The following is a 21,993-nucleotide window of genomic DNA, read 5'->3' as shown; positions in this document are numbered from 1 at the left end:
ATATAACTGTCTTGGTAAATTCTTCTTACTGACTGCATGATACCAGCCCCAGATAGTCGCTACCTGTGACAAAAATGATCTTACATTTCAGAAGGATCACTCTGGCTCCTCTATGTAGAATAAGTTACAGGAGTAAGAGGAACAGCTATGGAGACTAGCATACATTTCCAGGTTTAAATTGAGGTGGAGTTGACAAAGAATTTGCTGATGGATCCTATTTGAGTTATAGCAGAGAATTTAAGGATGACTTCAAAGTTTTCAGTATAAGCAACTATAAAGATACAACTACTATTGTTGGCCAACTACAAAGAAGGCCATTACATAACGGTAAAGGGATCAATTCAACAAGAAGAGCTAACTATCCTAAATATATATGCACCCAATGCAGGAGCACCCAGATTCATAAAGTAAGTCCTGAGTGACCTACAAAGAGACTTAGACTCCCACACATTAATAACGGGAGATTTTAACACCCCACTGTCAACATTAGACAGATCAATGAGACAGAAAGTCAACAAGGATACCCAGGAATTGAACTCAGCTCTGCACCAAGTGGACCTAATAGACATCTACAGAACTCTCCACCCCAAATCAACAGAATATACATTTTTTTCAGCACCATACCACACCTATTCCAAAATTGACCACATACTTGGAAGTAAAGCTCTCCTCAGCAAATGTAAAAGAACAGAAATTATAACAAACTATCTCTCAGACCACAGTGCAATCAAACTAGAACTCAGGATTAAGAATCTCACTCAAAACCGCTCAACTACATGGAAACTGAACAACCTGCTCCTGAATGACTACTGGGTACATAACGAAATGAAGGCAGAAATAAAGATGTTCTTTCAAACCAATGAGAACAGACACAACATACCAGAATCTCTGGGACACATTCAAAGCAGTGTGTAGAGGGAAATTTATAGCACTAAATGACCACAAGAGAAAGCAGGAAAGATCCAAAATTGACACCCTAACATCACAATTAAAAGAACTAGAAAAGCAAGAGCAAACACATTCAAAAGCTAGCAGAAGGCAAGAAATAACTAAAATCAGAGCAGAACTGAAGGAAATAGAGACACAAAAAACTCTTCAAAAAATTAATGAATCCAGGAGCTGGTTTTTTGAAAGGATCAACAAAACTGATAAACCACTAGCAAGACTAATAAAGAAAAAAAGAGAGAAGAATCAAATAGACGCAATAAAAAATGATAAAGGGGATATCACTACCAATCCCACAGAAATACAAACTACCATCAGAGAATACTACAAACACCTCTATGCAAATAAACTAGAAAATTTAGAAGAAATGGATAAATTCCTCAACACATACACTCTCCCAAGACTAAACCAGGAAGAAGTTGAATCTCTGAATAGACCAATAACAGGATCTGAAATTGTGGCAATAATCAATAGCTTACCAACCAAAAAGAGTCCAGGACCAGATGGATTCACAGCTGAATTCTACCAGAGGTACATGGAGGAACTGGTACCATTCCTTCTGAAACTATTCCAATCAATAGAAAAAGAGGGAATCCTCCCTAACTCATTTTATGAGGCCAGCATCATCCTGATACCAAAGCTGGGCAGAGACACAACCAAAAAAGAGAATTCTAGACCAATATCCTTGATGAACATTGATGCAAAAATCCTCAATAAAATACTGGCAAACAGAATCCAGCAGCACATCAAAAAGCTTATCCACCATGATCAAGTGGGCTTCATCCCTGGGATGCAAGGCTGGTTCCATATACACAAATCAATAAATGTAATCCAGCATATAAACAGAAACAAAGACAAAAACCATATGATTATCTCAATAGATGCAGAAAAGGCCTTTGACAAAATTCAACAACGCTTCATGCTAAAAACTCTCAATAAATTAGGTATTGATGGGACATATTTCAAAATGATAACAGCTATCTACGACAAACCCACAGCCAATATCATACTGAATGGGCAAAAACTGGAAGCATTCCCTTTGAAAACTGGCACAAGACAGGGATGCCCTCTCTCACCACTCCTATTCAACATAGTTTTGGAAGTTCTGGCCAGGGCAATTAGGCAGGAGAAGGAAATAAAGGGTATTCAATTAGGAAAAGAGGAAGTCAAATTGTCCCTGTTTGCAGATGACATGGTATGTCTAGAAAACCCCATTGTCTCAGCCCAAAATCTCCTTAAGCTGATAAGCAACTTCAGCAAAGTCTCAGGATACAAAATCAATGTACAAAAATCACAAGCATTCTTATACACCAACAGACAAACAGAGAGCCAAATCATGAGTGAACTCCCATTCACAATTGCTTCAAAGAGAATAAAATACCTAGGAATCCAACTTACAAGGGATGTGAAAGACCTCTTCAAGGAGAACTACAAACCACTGCTCAAGGAAATAAAAGAGGATACAAGCAAATGGAAGAACATTCCATGCTCATGGATAGGAAGAATCAACATCGTGAAAATGGCCATATTGCCCAAGGTAATTTACAGATTCAATGCCATCCCCATCAAGCTACCAATGACTTTCTTCACAGAATTGGAAAAAACTACTTTAAAGTTCATGTGGAATAAAAAAAGAGCCCGCATCACCAAGTCAATCCTAAGCCAAAAGAACAAAGCTGGAGGCATCACACTACCTGACTTCAAACTATACTACAAGGCTACAGTAACCAAAACAGCATGGTACTGGTACCAAAACAGAGATATAGATCAATGGAACAGAACAGAGCCCTCAGAAATAATGCCACATATCTACAACCATCTGATCTTTAACAAACCTGAGAAAAACAAGCAATGGGGAAAGGATTCCCTATTTAATAAATGGTGCTGGGAAAACTGGCTAGCCATATGTAGAAAGCTGAAACTGGATCCCTTCCTTACACCTTATACAAAAATCAATTGAAGAGGGATTAAAGACTTAAACGTTAGACCTAAAACTATAAAAACCCTAGAAGAAAACCTAGGCTTTACCATTCAGGATATAGGCATGGGCAAGGACTTCATGTCTAAAACACCAAAAGCAATGGCAACAAAAGCCAAAATTGACAAATGAGATCTAATTAAACTAAAGAGCTTCTGCACAGCAAAAGAAACTACCATCAGAGTGAACAGGCAACCTACAAAATGGGAGAAAATTTTCGCAACCTACTCATCTGACAAAGGGCTAATATCCAGAATCTACAATGAACTCCAACAAATTTACAAGAAAAAAACAAACAACCCCATCAAAAAGTGGGCGAAGGACATGAACAGACACTTCTCAAAAGAAGACATTTATGCAGCCAAAAAACACATGAAAAAATGCTCACCATCACTGGCCATCAGAGAAATGCAAATCAAAACCACAATGAGATACCATCTGACACCATTTAGAATGGCAATCATTAAAAAGTCAGGAAACAACAGGCGCTGGAGAGGATGTGGAGAAATAGGAACACTTTTACACTGTTGGTGGGACTGTAAACTAGTTCAACCATTGTGGAAGTCAGTGTGGCGATTCCTCAGGGATCTAGAACTAGAAACACCATTTGACCCAGCCATCCCATTACTGGGTATATACCCAAAGGACTATAAATCATGCTGCTATAAAGACACATGCACACGTATGTTTATTGCGGCATTATTCACAATAGCAAAGACTTGGAACCAACCCAAATGTCCAACAATGATAGACTGGATTAAGAAAATGTGGCACATATACACCATGGAATACTATGAAGCCATAAAAAATGATAAGTTCATGTCCTTTGTAGGGACATGGATGAAATTGGAAATCATCATTCTCAGTAAACTATCGCAAGAACAAAAAACCAAACACCACATATTCTCACTCATAGGTGGGAATTGAACAATGAGAACACATGGACACAGGAAGGGGAACATCACACTCTGGGACCTGTTGTGGGGTGGGGGGAGAGGGGAGGGATAGCATTGGGAGATATACCTAATGCTAGATGACGAGTTAGTGGGTGCAGCACACCAGCATGGCACATGTATACATATGTAAGTAACCTGCACATTGTGCACATGTACCCTAAAACTTAAAGTATAATAATAAAAAAATAAAAATAAATTAAAAAAAAAGAAAGAAAATACTGTATCTATGCATAGAAAAAGCTGAAAAGCCATCCATCAAAATGTTAAGAATGTTTCTAGCAGCTTTTCTTGAAGGTAAGATAAGGAGCGACTTAAACTTTCCGCTATCTTTATTTATTTTATAATTTTTCTACCATGAATATGTATTACTTCCTAAATAAATTAAAAGCAGCAATGTGGGGGGAGGGACTGATGTTTTCTTAAAATTAGAAATCTAGTAGATTTTTAAAAAATGTGTCTAATACAGGTATATTTCTGTGGATGCGATTTGATTTGTAAAGTATTGGTTCTTTATGACAATTAAGATAGTTTAAATTTTTCTAAAAATAAAAACTCCATGACTAGTGATGCTAACTGGCTTATGACTAGGTTGAATTGGTATTTCTATTCTCATTTTAGCATCCTTTGTACAAGATGTTAGAAATTCTTCATTTTATAAAGAAGGTATATATACATGTTTGGATTAGTGCATCACAAAGTTGTATTAAAAAAATTCAGACAAAAAGTGGCTATGCAGGATCTATATTACTAATTTAATTATGATGGTACATCATGAGAAAGTTCCATTATTGTACCTTTCAAAAACACTGTAATAATTACTTCAGTATCTTACATGTAAGTAGGAGAGGAAAATTAGTGTGTGTGAATACATATCTCTTTGTATTTTAAGTCATTTCCTAAATCACTGAATACAGCCTTACTACCTACATATTGATTACTAAACTCTATCTCCAGATGACATCTTGCTCTTTAATTCCAGACTTGTATTTTACCCACTCTGCCTTAAACTAGTTGTGTGACTAAGGACAAGTTATTTAACCTCTCCGCATTTCAGTTTTCTCATTTGTAAAATACAGACAGCGGTGCCTAGTAATCCAACGTATCCCAAAACAGTATAATTTTATGCCTGCTCAAAACATCATCCTGCTGCATTTCTTTTCTAGACATTGTACTACAATTGTCCCTTTTCCCAAGGAATCCACTTACCCAAATTAGAAATCACGGTGTCATTACACTCTATTCTTCTTTTTCCCTCACCATCCAAAATACCTTCCCTCCTCAGCTTTGAAATATTAGTGACTTCTCTTACTAGATGGTAATTATCTTGAGAATGGGGACTGTGTTCTTTTTTAGAAATTCATAAAGTTCCTATACTCTTGACATCTAAGTATCCCTGGCATCTAGGAAAATTTTTGTCCTATGGTTAGGCACTCAATAAATGCATTTTGAATGTGTGTGTGTGTATGTGTGACATATATACATATTTTATACACATACAGAATAGCTTATAGCTTTGCCATGATTATAAAATTTTAGAAGTATATAAAGATTGTAGATCATCATGGAGGACAGAAAGCAGGACTAGATGTCAGCTCTAGACAGAGCAGCCTGCGGAGGCTTGCATTGTGAATTTTAGCTCCAGATCGACTGTAAGAAAAAGCCTACCAATCCCGAGAGGACCCACAGACCCTCTGAAGGAGTGGACTGCTCCTGCAGGACCTGGAAGACCCCCTTGCCAAATACCGTGGGTGCCCCAACTGCGGAAGTGGGAAAGGGAGAACCCCGCCTCTCCCAAACACACACCCCCACTGGAGAAGCTGAAGGTCTGTTTGTGGGAGAAGTTTCTGACTCTACCAGGAGCTGAGTCAATCTGGAGAGCCGAGCAAAATACAGGGGTAGGGGAAGCAGCAGAAAGGCCCTGGGAGCTCGCTGGGTGCCCAAGAAGGCCATTCCTGCCTGTACCACAGGGATCCAAAGGGAGGGCAGCCAGAGGAGCAGGGGCTAAAACTCCACAGGGAAAAGGAAATCTCTAGCTGAACTCTGCAAAAATTTGAACGAGGTGAGAAGCCTCCTGGCCAGAACTCGGGGAAGAGCGCAAATCCAGTGTGCAGACTCCACAGGCAGGGGAGAACCAAGCTCTTTTCTTTTGCACCTGGGAGGCGGGTAGCCTGTGGCAGGTTTTCAAGCCTGTCTCACCCTCTGCCTGGAAACAGACTTGGGCTGTTGGCAGGGGCATGGTGGGAGTGAGACTGGCCTTTTGGTTTGCATGTGAGCTGGGTGAAGCCTGTGACTGCCTGCTTTCCCCCACTTCCCTGACAATCTGCAGGTCTCAGCAGAGGCAGCCATAATCCTCCTAGGTACACAACTCCAGTGACCTGGGAATCTCACTCCTATCCCCAACAGCAGCCATAGCAAGACCCGCCCAAGGAGAGTCTGAGCTCAGACACGCCTAGCCCTGCCCCCACCTGATGGTCCTTCCCTACCCACCCTGGCAGCGGAAGACAAAGGGCATATAATCTTGGGAGTTCTAGGGTCCCGCCCACCACTGGTTCCTCCCCATACTACCACAGCTGATGCTCTCTGGAATGCGCCACCTCCTGGCAAGAGGCCAATCAGCACAAAAATAGAGCATTAAACCACCAAAGCTAACAACCCTCACAGAGTCCATTGCAACCCCTCACCCCCCTGCTACCTCCGCCAGAACAGGCGCTGGTATCCACGGCTGAGAGACCCATAGATGGCTCACATCACAGGACTCTGTGCACACACCCCCCCAGTAGAAGCCAAGAGCCAAGTAGACTCACTGAGTGGCTAGACCCAGAAGAGAGACAACAATCACTACAGCTAGGCTCACAGGAAGACACACCCATAGGAAAAGGGGGAGAGTACTACATCAAGGGAACACCCCGTGGGACAAAAGAATCTGAACAACAGCCATCAGCCCTAGACCTTCCCTCTGACAGAGGCTACCCAAATGAGAAGGAACCAGAAAACCAACCCTGGTAATATAACAAAGCAAGCCTCTTCAACACACCCAAAAAATCATACTAGCTCATGAGCAATGGATCCAAACCAAGAAGAAATCCCTGATTTACCTGAAAAAGAATTCAGGAGGTTAGTCATTACGCTAATCATGGAGGGACCAGAGAAAATTACAAGTTAAAAAGCAAAAATAAAAAACAAACAAATAACCAAAGTACACAGGCAACAAAGAGCACAATGAATGCAAGGGTACCTCACATTTCAATACTGACATTGAATGTAAATGGCCTAAAAGCTCCACTTAAATGATACAGAACTGCACAATGGATAAGAACTCACCAACCATCTTCTGCCTTCAGGAGACTCACCTAACACATAAGGACTCACATAAACTTAAAGTAAAGGGGTGGAAAAAGGCATTTCATGCAAATGGACACCAAAAGTGAGCAGGAGTAGCTATTCTTATATCAGACAAAACAAGCTTTAAAGCAACAGCAGGTAAAAGAGACAAAGAAGTACATTATACAATAGTAAAAGGCCTTTTCCAACAGGAAAATATCACAATCCTAAATGTATAAGCACCAAACACTGGAGCTCCCAAATGTATAAAACAATTACTAATAGACATAAGAAATGAGATAGACAGCAACACAATAATAGTTGCTGTGGGTGGGTGGGCTTCACTACTCCACTGACAGCACTAGAGAGGTCATCAAGACAGAAAGTCAACAAAGAAACAATGGATTTAAACTATACCTTGGAGCAAATGGGCTTAACAAATATATACAGAACATTTCATTCAACATCTGCAGGATACACATTCTATCCCACAGCACATGGAACTTTCTCCAAGATAGACCATATGATAGGCCATAAAATGAACCTCAATAAATTTAAGAAAATTGAAATTATATCAAGCACTCTCTCAGACTACATTGGAATAAAACTGGAAGTCAATTGCAAAAGGAACCTTCAAAACCATGCAAGTACATGGAAATTAAATAACCTGCTCCTTAATGAGCATTGAGTCAAAAACAAAATAATGATGGAAATAAAAAATTTTTCAAACTGAACAACAATAATGACACAACCTATCAAAACCTCTCGGATACAGCAAAGGCGGTGCTAAAAGGAAAGTTCATGGCCCTAAATACCTATATCAAAAAGACTGAAAGAGTACAAACTGACGTTCTAAGGTCATGCCTCAAGGCACTAGAGAAACAAGAACAAATCAAACACAGACCTAGCAGAAGAAAGAAAATCACCAAGATCAGAGCAGAATTAAATGAAATTGAAACAAAAAAATACAAAAGATAAATGAAACAAAAAGCTGGTTCTTTGAAAAGATAAATAAAATTGATAGACCATCAGCAAGATTAACCAAGAAAAGAAAATAGAAAATAACCTCACTAAGAAATGAAACGAGATATTACAACTGACACCACTGAAAACAAAAGATCGTTCAAGGCTACTATGAACACCTTTATGCATATAAACTAGAAAACCTAGATGAGATGGATAAATTCATGGAAAAATACAACCCTCCTAGCTTATTTCAGGAAGAATTAGATACGCTGAACAGACCAATAACAAGCAGGAATATTGAAATGATAATTAAAAAATTACCAACAAAAAAGAAGCTGAGGACCAGATGGATTCACAGAATTTTACCAGACATTCAAAGAATTGGTACCAATCCTTTTGACATTATTCCATAAGATAGAGAAAGAAGGAACCTTCCCTAATACATTCTATGAAGCCAGCATCACCCTCATACCAAAACCAGGAAAGGACATAATCAAAAAAGAAAACTACAGACCTATATTCTTGATGAACATAGATGCTAAAATCCTTAACAAAATACTAGCTAACTGAATCCAACAACATATCAAAAAGATAATCTATCATGATCAAGTGGGTTTCATACCAGGGATGCAGGGATGCTTTAACATATGCAAGTCAATAAATGTGGTACACCACATAAACAGAACTAAAAACACAAATCACATGATCATCTCAATAGATGCAGAAAAAGCATTCAATAAAATCCAGCACATCCCTTTATGATTAAAAATGTCAGCAAAATCGGCATACAAGGGACCTACCTTGATGTAATAAAAGCCATCTATGACAAACCCACAGCCAACATAGTACTGAATGAGAAAAACTTAAAAGCATTCCCTCTGAGAACTGGAACAGGACAAAGATGTCCACTCTCACCACTCCTCTTCAACATAGTACTGGAAGTCCTAGCTAGAGCAATCAGGAGAAAGAAATAAAGAGCATCCACATCGGTAAAGAGAAAGTCAAACTGTCACTGTTTGCTGATGATATGATCGTTTACCTTGAAAACCCTGAGGACTCCTCCAGAAAGTTCCTATGATTGATAAAAGAATTCAGCAAAGGTTCTAGATACAATATTAATGTACACAAATCAGTAACTCTTCTATATACCAACAGCAACCAAGTGGAGAATCAAATCAAGAACTCAATCCCTTTTACAATAGCTGAAAAACAAAATAAAAGTAAGTACTTAGGAATATATTCAACCAAGGAGTTGAAAGACCTTTACAAGGAAAACTACAAAACACTGCTGAAAGAAATCACAGATTACATGAACAAATGGAAACACATCCCATGCTCATGGATGGGTAGAATCAATATTGTGAATAATGACCATACTACCAAAAGCAATCTACAAACTCAATGCAATTCCCATCAAAATACCACCACCATTCTTCATAGAATTAGAAAAAAAATTCTAAAATTCATATGGAACCAAAAAAGAACCCACATAGCCAAAGTAAGACTAAGCAAAAAGAACAAATTTGGAGACATCACCCTATCTGATTTCAAACTATACTATATGGCCCTAGTCACCAAAACAGTGTGGTACTGGTATTAAAATAGGCACATAGACCAGTGGAACAGAATAGAGAACCCAGAAATAAACCCAAATACTTACAGCCAACTGATCTACGACAAAGCAAACAGAAATATAAAGTGGAGAAAGGACACCCTTTTCAACAAATGATGCTGGGATAACTGGCTAGCCACATGAAGGAGAATGAAATTGGATCCTCATCTCTCACCTTATACAAAAATCACTCAAGATGGATTAAGGACTAAAACCTAAGACCTGAAACTATAAAAACTCTGCAAGATAACTTTGGAAAAACCCTTCTAGATATTGGCTTAGGCAAGGATTTCATGACCATGAACTCAAAAGCAAATGCAACAAAAACAAAGATAAATAGCTGGGACCTAATTAAACTAAAGAGCTTTTGCACGGCAAAAGGAACAGTCAGCAGAGTAAGACAACCCACAGAGGAGGAGAAAATCTTCACAACCTATATATCTGACAAAGGACTAATATCCAGAATCTACAAACAACTCAAACAAATCAGTATGAAAAAAACCAAACAATCCCATCAAAAAGTGGGCTACGGACATGAATAGACCATTCTCAAAAGAAGATATACAAATGGCAACAAACATATGAAAATGCGCAACATCACTAATGATCAGCAAAATGCAAATCAAATAACAATGTGATACCACCTTACTCCTGCAAGAATGGCCATAATAAAAAAAATCAAAAAACAGTAGATGTTGGTGTGGATGCAGCAAACAGGGAACACTTCTACACTGCTGGTGGTAATATAAACTAGTACAGCCACTATGGAAAACAGCATGGAGATTCCTTAAGGAACTAAAAGTAGAACTACCATTTGATCCATCAATCCCACCACTGGGTATCTGCCCAGAGGAAAATAAGTTATTATTTGAAAAAGATACTTGCACACGCATGTTTATAGCAGCACAATTCGCAACTGCAAAATCGTGGAACCAACCCAAATGCTCATCAATCAAGTGGATAAAGAAACTGTGTTATACAAGGAAGATTTGTTTTGAAGACACCTTGAGAACTGTCAGTATGTAACTACCTTAGTTCCCTTTTTTTTTTTTTTGAGACGGAATCTCGCTCTGTCACCCAGGTTGGGGTGCAGTGGCATGATCTCAGCTCACTGCAACCTCCGCCTCCCAGGTTCACACCATTCTCCTGCCTCAGCCTCCTGAGTAGTGGGGACTACAGGCGCGTGCCACCACACCTGGCTAATTTTTTTGTATTTTTAGTAGAGACGGGGTTTCACCGTGTTAGCCCGGATGGTCTCTATCTCCTGACCTCGTGATCCGCCCACCTCGGCCTCCCAAAGTGCTAGGATTACAGGTGTGAGCCACTGTGCCCGGCCTTAGTTCGCTAAATTTTCGTCTTATATTCCACCCTGGGGATGAGAGGGAAAGGTGAAAAATTTGAATTCTTAACACTATCTGTAGTTTTTAGATTTAATAATCATCCCAGATTTTTTACTTTCAGCTAATCTCTTGCTTATATTTTCCAAGAATGCATGATAAATTATAGACAAATAAAAGCTCATTTTCTCAATTAAAAAAACCATGATATCTATCTATCTATCTATCTATCTATCTATCTATCTATCTATCTATTTATCTATGATGGAATACTACGCAGCCATAAAAAGGAATGCATTAACAGCATTTGTGATGACCTGGATGAGATTGGAGACTATTATTCTAAGTGAAGTAACTCAGGAATGGAAAACCAAACATCGTATATTCTCACTTATACGTGGGAGCTAAGCCATGAGGACGCAAAGGCATAAGAATGATATTGTGGACTTTGGGGACTTGTGGGGAAGAGTGGGAGGGGGTGAGGGATAACAGACAACAATATGGTGCAGTGTACACTGCTCAGGTGATGGGTGTTCCAAAATCTCACAAATCACCACTGAAGAACTTACTCATGTAATCAAATACCACCTGAACCCCAATAATTTATGGAAAAATAAAGAAGTATATAAAGATCATCATTCTAGTCAGGAAATAATCTTTCAAGCAGACCTTAGAAACATACATAGATGTCATTAATTATTATTTAATGCTGATGAGATTGTGGGAAATCCAGAATTCTCACACAGTATTGGTAACAGAATAAATTGCTACAACTCTTTAAAAGACATATTTTAAGAGTCATCAGATTTTTCAGATAATTTATCTGGATAGCTCCGACAATTTACAATGAAAACAAAAGGAAAATTGATATGCATAAAATGTTATTTATCCTTTTTTATGAGAAAAAATGGAAAACAATCTAAATACTGAATTATAGTTTCAAAATCTCAGTAGACTATTTCAGATCTATTAAAGTTATTATAATGACTACAGCAATATGAATAAATGTTTTTGTTATTTTAAAAAACTAGATGCTAGGATTACAATTATGTTAAAAAGTGTATATTTACATAAAAGGTGTGTGCTTTTTAAATAATAAATACTAAAAATGCAACTGAAGCTTGTACCCTTTAATGATTTCTGATATTGGAACGAATATTTAGTACAAAGTAGTTTTGATCAGACAAACATTGCACAAGACATTCAATTTTAAATAAGATTTTAAAAAACATATCTCAAAATGTCACATACCTTTGGATATACTTCAAATATGGTGTATAGTCTATTACAGCAGGAAAACTGCCATCCAGCCCCTCTCCCTTTAGGCAGAAACTAAGACAATAGAAAATAAATATTTCCTATTAATATATAAAATTTTAAATCAAAGTTAAGTTTCATGAAAAATCTCTTGCCAGAGACGTTTCTCTCATCAAATGGCAAGCGAATTTTTTTGTTTGCAATTTAATTGTTACTTGTCAGAAATAAACGCCTGAATAAAATATTCTACCTTCAATACCAATGACAAGGCATTGTACAAATTAATACACTATCAATGGGTTACATTAAACCAACAGTTAACATTCTTAATCCCAGTTTTTTTGTTTGTTTTTTTTTTTCTTTTTTTTTGAGAGGGAGTCTTGCTCTGTCACCCAGGCTGGAGTGCTGTGGCATGATCTTGGCTCACTGCAGCCTCTGCCTCCCGGGTTCCAGCGATTCTCCTGCCTCAGCCTCCTGGGTAGCTGGGATTACAGGCACCCACTACCATGCCTGGGTAATTTTTGTATTTTTAGTAGAGACAGGGTTTCGCCACGTTGGCCAGGCTGGTCTTGAACTCCTGACCTCAGGTGATCTGCCCGCCTCAGCCTCCTAAAGTGTTGGGATTACAGGTGAAAGCCACCGCGCCTGGCCTTGTTTTTTTTAAAACAATAAAACAACAAACAAACAAAACAAGACTGTAACAAATTTAGACAGAGCTAGTGACGTGATATAAAAAGTTAACATCCATAGAGGGATCAAAAAGACAACCTTCACATTCCATCTATCATGTTCATCCTCCACAATTAAGCTAATTAAACCTAATACTAGCTTATTAAATTTTAATAAAGTTAGACTTGTCAAGTGACAAATATTTAGAAAAGGAAGTGCTTTACTATAAAAGATAACTTCAGTGAAAACGAACAGCATTATTTTTATCAAGACTCAAAAGTAGAATTTCATTTGTCTTATACTTATTTTGTTAATATTCCTGAATTTTCAAATGTTATATTTCAATAAAAATATAATATTTCCTTCATTCCTTGTGTTTGAGTTTTCTTATAGACAAACCTTTTACTTTCAATATAATGTAAAATCTGGGATCGATTAAAGAAATGCAAAAAAAGTGTCTATAAATCTAAAAAGAACTTGTATTGCCCATTTTTAGCACTTGTTATTTTAGTGTAGAACCAGTTCATCTTGTTGACAATAAAAGTAAATTTTAACAATTTTTTTTTTTAATATTCTCCATACATAACATAAGAGACGTAAGATACCCAAGATAGCCTCTCAGGATCTTATCTCAACACGTGAGATAATGAGAATCTTTCTGGCTTTGAAACTACTTTAAGTCTATTTCTTTTAATTTTAAAGCAGTAGCTGAAAAATACTAAGAGATAAGATTCAAAGCCTTCCTTCATTAGGGAGGGGGCTGTTGGGGAATGGGATATAGTCTAAGTTTTCTTTTTATCCAAGCTACAGAGCAAGCCTATCAATTCATTAAGTTTCAGGCAGTCTCTTTTCTGAGAGCAAACTCATTTAGAAAACAAACTGATGTCATTTGAAAGAGAACAACATGAATCAAATAACAATATCCAACTGTGTGCTTTACTTAGACAACTGAAAGAAAAAAATCATAAGTAGAAACTATTAAGATATAGAATAATTTAAAAACTGAATGCATTTGGTTAAGTACCTGAAATCAATAGCATTGAGTCCTAGAAGCATGCCAGCAAGCATATTTGCTTCTTCACCCAAGACAATTGCTCCATCTTCATAAAATCTCCTAAAAAATGAAATGGGTGAATATATAAAATATTAAAAATAAATGGAAGTTTGATCGAGAGAAATCATTTAGAGCCCAAACTATTGTAGGAAGAGCTAAATTTTATTTAATTTGTATTTTTAAAAAAAACATATTTCCATCACTGAAGTTTTGAAGATATTTAGACCAAAATAAAGAGACAAAACAACAACAACAAATCCCTGAAGAAACTAAAACCTGCCAATATAACAAAAAGAATTCTCTGTTTCCAGCTCTCCTAAAAAGAAACCCCCAAGTGAGTCTTTCAATGGGTCTAGAGTGCCAGCATTTTTCCTTAATAGTGAAGCAATATAAATGTAAAGTGAAAGGTGGCAAATTCAGAGTCATCTGTATTTACCTATTTTCAAAATGAAGTAGACTTGAGTTCTAATAAATAAGATAAAATTAAGTTCTGTTTTTCTATAATTGCAAAGATTACTGAGTAAGTTAAGAATTTGGGAGGCATACTTGTTAGTAATTTATGGTAACCTTAATAGTGCAATCCTAATAAAGCAGATGGGCTACCAAGGTGGCTGCATATGAAAAAGAAAGTATTCAATATCTCCTTGACAAAAATGGGAATGTGAATGTATCTTTGTTAATTCCTGTAAAGCTTTACATTTTAGTTATCATTAGTTTTTAAAATATTTTTGAAAGAAAAATCATTATGTGGCCCTAAGGTATTTTTCCAAAAATGAATGTAAAATCATTTAATCTACTTCTTTTAAAACGTAGTACTATGTAAAATCTAGTTTATATCAGTAACCAGGGATGATCACACTGCTATAAGTATTTATATTACATATAAGAGAGTGAACACCACTCTATACCACCCCATTAACTAAAATGAAACATTTTAGTAAATCAAAGGTCTTGCTCTTTTCAGTATTTCTGAGTTTATAAATTCTGCAAAAAATTTCAATATGCTCATAATCCTACCATCAATTTTGAATTGTTGTTCACAGCTTACTAAGTATTTTTACAAACATATTACTTGATACTTGCAAAAAAACCCATAAATTAAAGGCAGAAGGAATCATTAGTTTCAAATTTACCATCAGGAAAAGTTTAAAACAATTTGCACAAGCTCATGTTAGATGAATTGCTTAAGAAGGCTACCCAATTCTTCTTTAAGTCCTATATCTTCTATTAAATCTACGTTTCGTAAAACAAAAATATTTTAAAAGAACTTAATGTATGGTATGGTTCATAAGGAATATTAAATGAATAAAAAGTACAAAATGGAAAAAATAGTCAACTATTTACTCTCTGACAGATGTAAGGCTGCAAACAAATACAGTGGGGAGACTGGCTTGGAATAAATGTTTTTTATTTTCTTGGACCTACTGAAATTGCTTTTACTGATTTATATAAAAGGAGAAAAATGAAAACTTCTGGCCTAACAAAATTAGTAAAATAAATGGAAGGATTTTTTTACATATTCTACTGAGGTGTCCTGCAGAAAGGTAAAATATTTAGACAAATATGTATGTTTGAGACTTTGTCCCTGGTCCAATAACTAAGTTGGCTATTGGCAGAATATATTATTAACCCCTGGAAGAACTATGCTTCTAATGGTTTCAGACCACTAAATTCTATGAGACATATGAATTTGGAAAAGAATCTTGTTTTTTTGATACTGCCAATAACCCATTATTCCTAGTACTTCTTATATAAGAAAAGGTCTACTTCTTTTATTCCTCATCTTGAACCTACCATTGTTTAAAAAATACATTCTAAAAATCAGCTCAAAACTATTCTTGCTTGCTTTCTAATGGCACCTTTGTACTAGGGAGTGTTGAAGAACACCACGGCAAAAAATTAACTGGTTTGAGAAATTTTTTAAAAACTAAAGGTCTTTTATGTGTGTGCATATAATAATGTTTTAATGAGTTTTTCACTTTAGTTTTACTCATTAGTAAATAAGTAAATTTTCTAAGCGAATGATTTAAGATAAGTAAAATGGTTGCTATATGTAAAATCAATAATTCCACTGAAAAAAATCATATCTTAAGTGTAAGATATGATTTAATATAACAGCAAAAGAGGAAAGGAAAAATGGAAGAGGAAGGGCTAGTTAAGAGGATTGCCCATTATATGCTGAACTTTTAAATTATTAGTTCTGGTTAAGAAAAACATTATTTTTCAGAAGATGTACTTCTGAGCTTAAGATAATATATTTTAAAGTAATTCAGTATTTAGAAAACTGAAACGATCTGAGAAGATAATATTTTTATCATTTAATCAAAGACTTCATTCATGTGTATGAAAGAGGTAGAAGCTGTCTCGAAAAATTAATTTCTTCTCTTATGCAAACTAATATATCAATAATTAGACTAAAAATCTGATTCCTGTGGTCAATACTTTCAAATATTCCAAAAGATGGTAAAATTTCAACCTTTTCATTTTACCTCATTGAAAAATTGGAACATTAAACTTTGCTTATATAACCAAGATCATAAAATAAATGAGCCAGGAGTAAAGCCTGAGATGACTAATCCAATAATAGTAAGGTATATACTTAAAATTCCCTTTTTTCAGTTAAAAATATTTTTTGTTCTAAAGAAAATTTTTATGCCAGGCCTGGTGGCTCATGCCTGTAATCCCAGCACTTCTGGAGCCTTAACAGGCAGATCATTTGAGCCCAGGAGTTAGAGATCAGCCTGGGCAACATGGTGAAACCCACCTATACAAAAAATACAAAAAAATTAGCCAGACGTGGTGGCACATGCCTGCAGTCCCAGCTACTTGGGAGGCTGAGGTGAGAGGATGGCTTGAGTCAGGAAGACAGAGGTTGAAGTGAGCTGAGATGGTCCCACTGCACTCCAGCCTGGGTGACAGAGCAAAACCCTTTCTCAAAAAAAAAAAAAAAAAAAAAAAAAATATATATATATATATATATATATATATATATATAGGTATATATATACACACATACATATATATAACATATATAAATATAAATATATATAATACATATATGTATATGTATAAATGAGAAGAATCTAACCAAAACATTGTACTGCTTAAGTTCAACATATTATAAATGTTGAAAGTACCAAAGTAAAAAATACATATGAAACTTCCATTTAAAGATTTTTATATTAGAGACTATACCTTTAAATATAGTTTTATATTACAGAAGTGAGGAAAAATTACAAGCAACTATTTGATACTACTGTGATCTGGGAAAAAAACTTCCTGATCTTATTAGGTATACCACCGTTTCCAAGTATTTATATGTTGATTAGAAAAACATTAGTGACTAGAAAAGTATTTAAAATAATGCCCTTATAAGAATATGCTTTTCTTTTACCACATATAATTTAACTCTAATTGAAATATATTCCTATAATGCCACCTTGGTGTCCATTCTGTAAGAATATTTTAAGGAATTTTAAGTAGTTCAATAACAAATATCCTCTGGATGGGATCCAAGGTGAATAATAAATATAAATTATGTTGATACTATCTAATGTGATGTTTCAAATTTTCCTTTTGTGGGAGTCAGAAGTTATCCTACATATTTGAAAGCACAATATTAAAATATGAGAAAGCTTGTCTTATAAACCAAAGAAATTTCATTATTGGCATGCTTGTTCTCTTCCCCCAATTTAATGTAAGAAACTACTGAAAGGGGATATAAGAAAATTCTCCCTCATGACATATAAAACAGATCCCTGCATTATAAACAGATGTTATATTCAAAGTCAAATTGAATCAAAATGAAAAACTGATGAAAAAGTCAACCTCCAAAGGTCTTGCCAAGAATGTGAGATTCAGTAATTATTTTAATAAACAAATATTTATTAAATTCCTTTTATGTGACAAGAACTGTGCGAGGTACTATAGTTACAATGGTAAATAAGTTAGATTTAGATCCTCTCTATGAAGCATATAGTCTAGGGGAATAGAAAAGCAAGAAACAAAAGACAAAGATAATTACAGATGATGATAAATATAAAGTAAATAAAGAGGTTGTTGAGATAGAGACAAATGGAAGGAAAGCCCAACTTTGGAAAGTCATTAAGTAAGGCATTCTCAAGTATTTAACCTGATACCTTAGCCCACAGATGTCTGATCACACAGGGCTTTGCAGGCCACAGAACATTAATAATAATAATAACACTTCTTGAGTGGCAGGCATAGTAATAACTTTACATGAGTCATCTTCTTAACTTTGCCGCTACATATTATTCTCCAGAGAGATTAAGCAATTTGTCCAAGATAGACACAGCTAGAGTAGGGAAACCAGGATCTGACTCCAGGAAATGTGACAGCCACAGAGCCTTCTGGCTAATGTAATAAGAAATCATTTCAATGTTTTAAGTAGGAGCTGACATAATCTCTTTTACTTTTAAGATCAGCTGGAAGCTAGATGGCTACTGAAAGGGGGCAAACTGGAAGGTCAGGAGGCCAACAGGTGAGCCTTAGGCAACAGATAAAAGAGGTCTAGATGACTGTAAGAGCCATGGAGATAAAGGTAAATAAATAGATTCAAAATAGATTTGGAGGTAGGATCAATAAGACTTGCTTATGGATTAATTACAGGGAATGAGGGAGAAAGAGGAATCAGGTATGACTTTTAGATTCTTGCTTAATCAACTATGTAGGTGGGCAGTGATAACATTTGCTAAGAAAGGGTGAACAGAGTTACAGGGGAAAAAAAATTAGTATATCTGAACTATCTAGCTAGAGGTTTAAATGTGGTATCATGGTCATATGGATGGTATTTCAAGCCAGGGGAATGGACGAAACTCCAGGAAGAGAGAATACAGAGAAAAATGAACAGAGGAAAAAAAGCAGAAAATGCAGGACTGAGCCCAGAGAATATGAACAGTCAGATGTTAAGTGGAAAAGATGACAGAAAAAGAGACAGAGCGATTAAGGAAAAGCCATGGAATGTTGTATAACTTAAAGGTGAAGAGATTTTTTCAAGAACGATGAAGTAGTCAACTTCTACTGGAAGTAGCTGGGAGATGGAGTACAGTATGGACAGAGAAATATCCATTACATTGGGTAGCTTGTAGATTATTGGTATTCTTTTAAAAATTCTTGGTGGAGTGATGAGGGGCAGAAGCCAGACAAGAGTGGGTAAGAGAGTGACTCTAAAGTAAGAAAATGATGACAGTGTGAAGAAGTGCTTTGGAGAAGTCTGGTGATGAAGTGTAATCATGAAATTAGCATTGGTAGAGGGGAATTATAGGTTCAATGGAGAATCTTTTTTTTAAGGTAGGAGGTACTGGTATATGTTCTATAAGGGTAGGATTGATCCAGCAATAGTAAAGAGATTGAGGATGAGGAGACAGAAAGTTGGTAACTAAAGGAAGAAGGGAATCATATGCTACCTGGTCTTTTGTGACTGGCTTCTTTGCTAAGCTTAGCAGGTTTTCAAGGTTCATCCATGTGGCAGCATGGATCAGTACTACATTTCTTTTTATGCCTGAATAACATTCCACTGTATGGATATAGACACACATGCACCTAGGAGTCATGTGCTGGGTCATATGGTAACTCTATGTTTAACCTTTTGAAAAATTGCCAGACTGTTTTTCAAAGTGACTGCACAATTTTCTTTTCCCACCAGCAATGTATGAAAGATTCAGTTTTTCAAAATCCTCACCAAGATTTGTTATTAAGTGATCTTTTGAACATACCCATCCTAGTTAGTATGCAGTGTTATTTCATTGTGGTTTTGTATTTCCCTGATGGCTAATGATGTCAAACAACATTTTAGTGTTTATTAGCCATCTGTATACCCCCCTTGGAGAAGTGTCTATTCAGATTCATTGCCCATTTTTAAATGAGTTGTCTTTTTATTACTGAGTTGTAAAAGTTCTTCATATACATTGTAGATACAAAACCCTTATCGCAGGGGTCCCCACCCCCTGGGCCATGAACCAGAACCTGTCCGTGGCCTGTTAGGAACTGGAGCTGCAGGGCAGGAGGTGAGTGGTGGGCCAGTGAACATTATCACCTAAGCTCCGACTCCTTCACTCAGGCATTAGATTCTCACAGGAGTAAGAACCCTACTGTGAACTGCACATGTTAAAGATCTAGGTTGCATGCTCCTTATGATACTCTAACTAATGCCTGATGATCTGAGGTGGAACAGTTTCATCCTGAAACCATTCCCTGCCACCACGGTCCGTGGAAACACTGTCTTCCACAAAACCAGTCCCTGTTGCCAAAAAGGTTGGGGACCGCTGCCTTATCAGATTATGATCTGTAAAAATTGTCTCCTATTCTGTTTGTCATCTTTTCACCTTCTTTATGGTGTCCTCTGAAACACAAAGTTTTAATTTTTATTATGTTCAATTTATCTTAATAGTGTAAAACTTTAATACATACTTGCAGGGAGACCCCTTGAAACTATTGCTACAGAATAAAAGATGAAATGCTCCTAATTATTGTAAATACAAAATTCCATGCAGGATTGTGTAAAGACAATGCCAGGTTGGACTGCCAGAACGAGCCAACAGCACATGATGTGCTTCCCCCTGCAGAGAGCCTATGAATGGACGTACAGTCAGGGAGGTTTCACATCACCAAGATTCCCATCCCAGAAAAGCAGATGTTCATAGCTCTAGGAATGGAATGCGACCTTTGTGGAGAGCCTATAAACAGACGCATGGGGGGGCGCCTGTCCATATGGATAAGATAGGGCTATAAACGTCCTCATCTTGCCATGGCTCTTCTAGGCCTCTTTAGGGTTAAGGCATACTCCTTTCTGAGAATTTCTGGTCTAACCGGTTGTCTAGCTTCACATCCTGTTTCCATGGATTGTTTGTAACCAGCTTTTGTTGCAATTGTTACTGCTGATTAATATCTTGTTAATCATACGTTATGGAAAGATTGTGTTTCTGTTTTAAGGCTCTGTTAGAAATTACACACACATTATACTGTAAATTCTTATCTCTGTATACTGTACTTCTCCATACAAATGTACTGTACTTCTACATACAAATGTTATGTTAAAGAATTACTTCATCCCCATGTGACCATCTCACCTCATAATCAAATGACCCTAAATCCCTCACTAACCTACCCCCGCCCTCACTAAACTTAATAATAAATGCTGGTATATCTAGTGCATTGTTGGCACCACGGGACCAGAAGGCAGTGACCCCCCTGGACCCAGCTTTCACTATCTTGTGTGTGTCTGTTATTTCTCAATCTGCTGATCTGCCTAACAACAGAGAGCCCCGTTGCATTGCAGGCTGCTGGCCAGATCCTGCAATATCTGGTGCCCAATGTGGCCTTCTTTGTTCCTTGGCTCAGTGCACTCCAAGTGCCGTTTGTGATGACTAGTCTTCAGTCTTGAAGGTAAGGTCTCCAAGTACGCTTTTTCCGACTCTCCCCTCTTTTCAGGTTTTATTATTTCTTTCCTTTACTGATTTTGGGTTTACTTTGCTCTTTCTTTTCTAGTTCTTTAAGATATATCATTAAGTAGTTTTTTCAAGTTTTTCTACTTTTTTGATTGAAGCACTTCTTGCTATAAACATTCTAAGTACTGCTTTTGAGGAATACCACAGGTTTTGATATGTTGTGTTTCCATGTGCATTTGTTTGTTTTTTTAAATTTTCTTCTTAAATTTTGCACTGACCCACTAGTTATTTGAGAGAATATTATTTAATTTCCATGTGTTTGCATAGTTTCCAAAATTTCTCTGTTATTGATTTCTAGTTTTACCGCCTTGTAGTCAGAAAAGTTATTTAATATAGTTTCAATAATTTTGGAATTTTTAAGGCTAGCTTTGTGACATAACATACCCTTCAAAATGATCCATGGGCTGAGGAGAAGAATGTGAATTCTGCAGT

At 36.5% G+C, this 21,993-nt stretch overlaps 1 protein-coding gene across 8 annotated transcripts in view, besides 4 other annotated features; it reads right to left on the bottom strand.

The window, feature by feature from the left end:
- The window catches only part of RUNDC3B (RUN domain containing 3B), a 203,899-nt gene that overhangs the window by 78,351 nt on the left and 103,555 nt on the right, over nt 1-21,993 (bottom strand). For 7 of the 8 annotated variants that reach the window (NM_001394228.1, NM_138290.3, NM_001394224.1 and 4 more), the window contains 2 exons: nt 14,066-14,155; nt 12,367-12,447 (listed from right to left, as the gene is read on the bottom strand). In NM_001394228.1, the coding sequence (NP_001381157.1) occupies nt 12,367-12,447; nt 14,066-14,155 (171 nt within the window). The remainder of the gene's footprint in view (nt 1-12,366; nt 12,448-14,065; nt 14,156-21,993) is intronic. The other variant, NM_001394225.1, reaches the window with a different exon arrangement.
- Nucleotides 5,416-6,004: an enhancer, noted in NCBI's record as "H3K27ac-H3K4me1 hESC enhancer chr7:87377258-87377846 (GRCh37/hg19 assembly coordinates)". NCBI's record gives its function as "activates a minimal SCP1, AML or CMV promoter by ChIP-STARR-seq in primed H9 embryonic stem cells {active_cell/tissue: H9 hESC(primed)}" and the evidence as "EXISTENCE:reporter gene assay evidence [ECO:0000049][PMID:30033119]".
- Nucleotides 6,005-6,594: an enhancer, noted in NCBI's record as "H3K27ac-H3K4me1 hESC enhancer chr7:87376668-87377257 (GRCh37/hg19 assembly coordinates)". NCBI's record gives its function as "activates a minimal SCP1, AML or CMV promoter by ChIP-STARR-seq in primed H9 embryonic stem cells {active_cell/tissue: H9 hESC(primed)}" and the evidence as "EXISTENCE:reporter gene assay evidence [ECO:0000049][PMID:30033119]".
- Nucleotides 14,182-14,728: an enhancer, noted in NCBI's record as "NANOG hESC enhancer chr7:87368534-87369080 (GRCh37/hg19 assembly coordinates)". NCBI's record gives its function as "activates a minimal SCP1, AML or CMV promoter by ChIP-STARR-seq in naive H9 embryonic stem cells {active_cell/tissue: H9 hESC(naive)}" and the evidence as "EXISTENCE:reporter gene assay evidence [ECO:0000049][PMID:30033119]".
- Nucleotides 19,942-20,117: a silencer, noted in NCBI's record as "fragment chr7:87363145-87363320 (GRCh37/hg19 assembly coordinates)". NCBI's record gives its function as "represses an EF-1alpha promoter that drives an FKBP-Casp9 reporter gene in an ReSE screen in phorbol 12-myristate 13-acetate-treated (for megakaryocytic differentiation) K562 erythroleukemia cells {active_cell/tissue: K562(+PMA)}" and the evidence as "EXISTENCE:reporter gene assay evidence [ECO:0000049][PMID:32094911]".

Source organism: Homo sapiens, chromosome 7 (assembly GCF_000001405.40).
Source record: "Homo sapiens chromosome 7, GRCh38.p14 Primary Assembly".
Lineage (NCBI taxonomy): Eukaryota > Metazoa > Chordata > Mammalia > Primates > Hominidae > Homo > Homo sapiens.
This window is presented reverse-complemented; position numbering and strand designations above follow the sequence as displayed.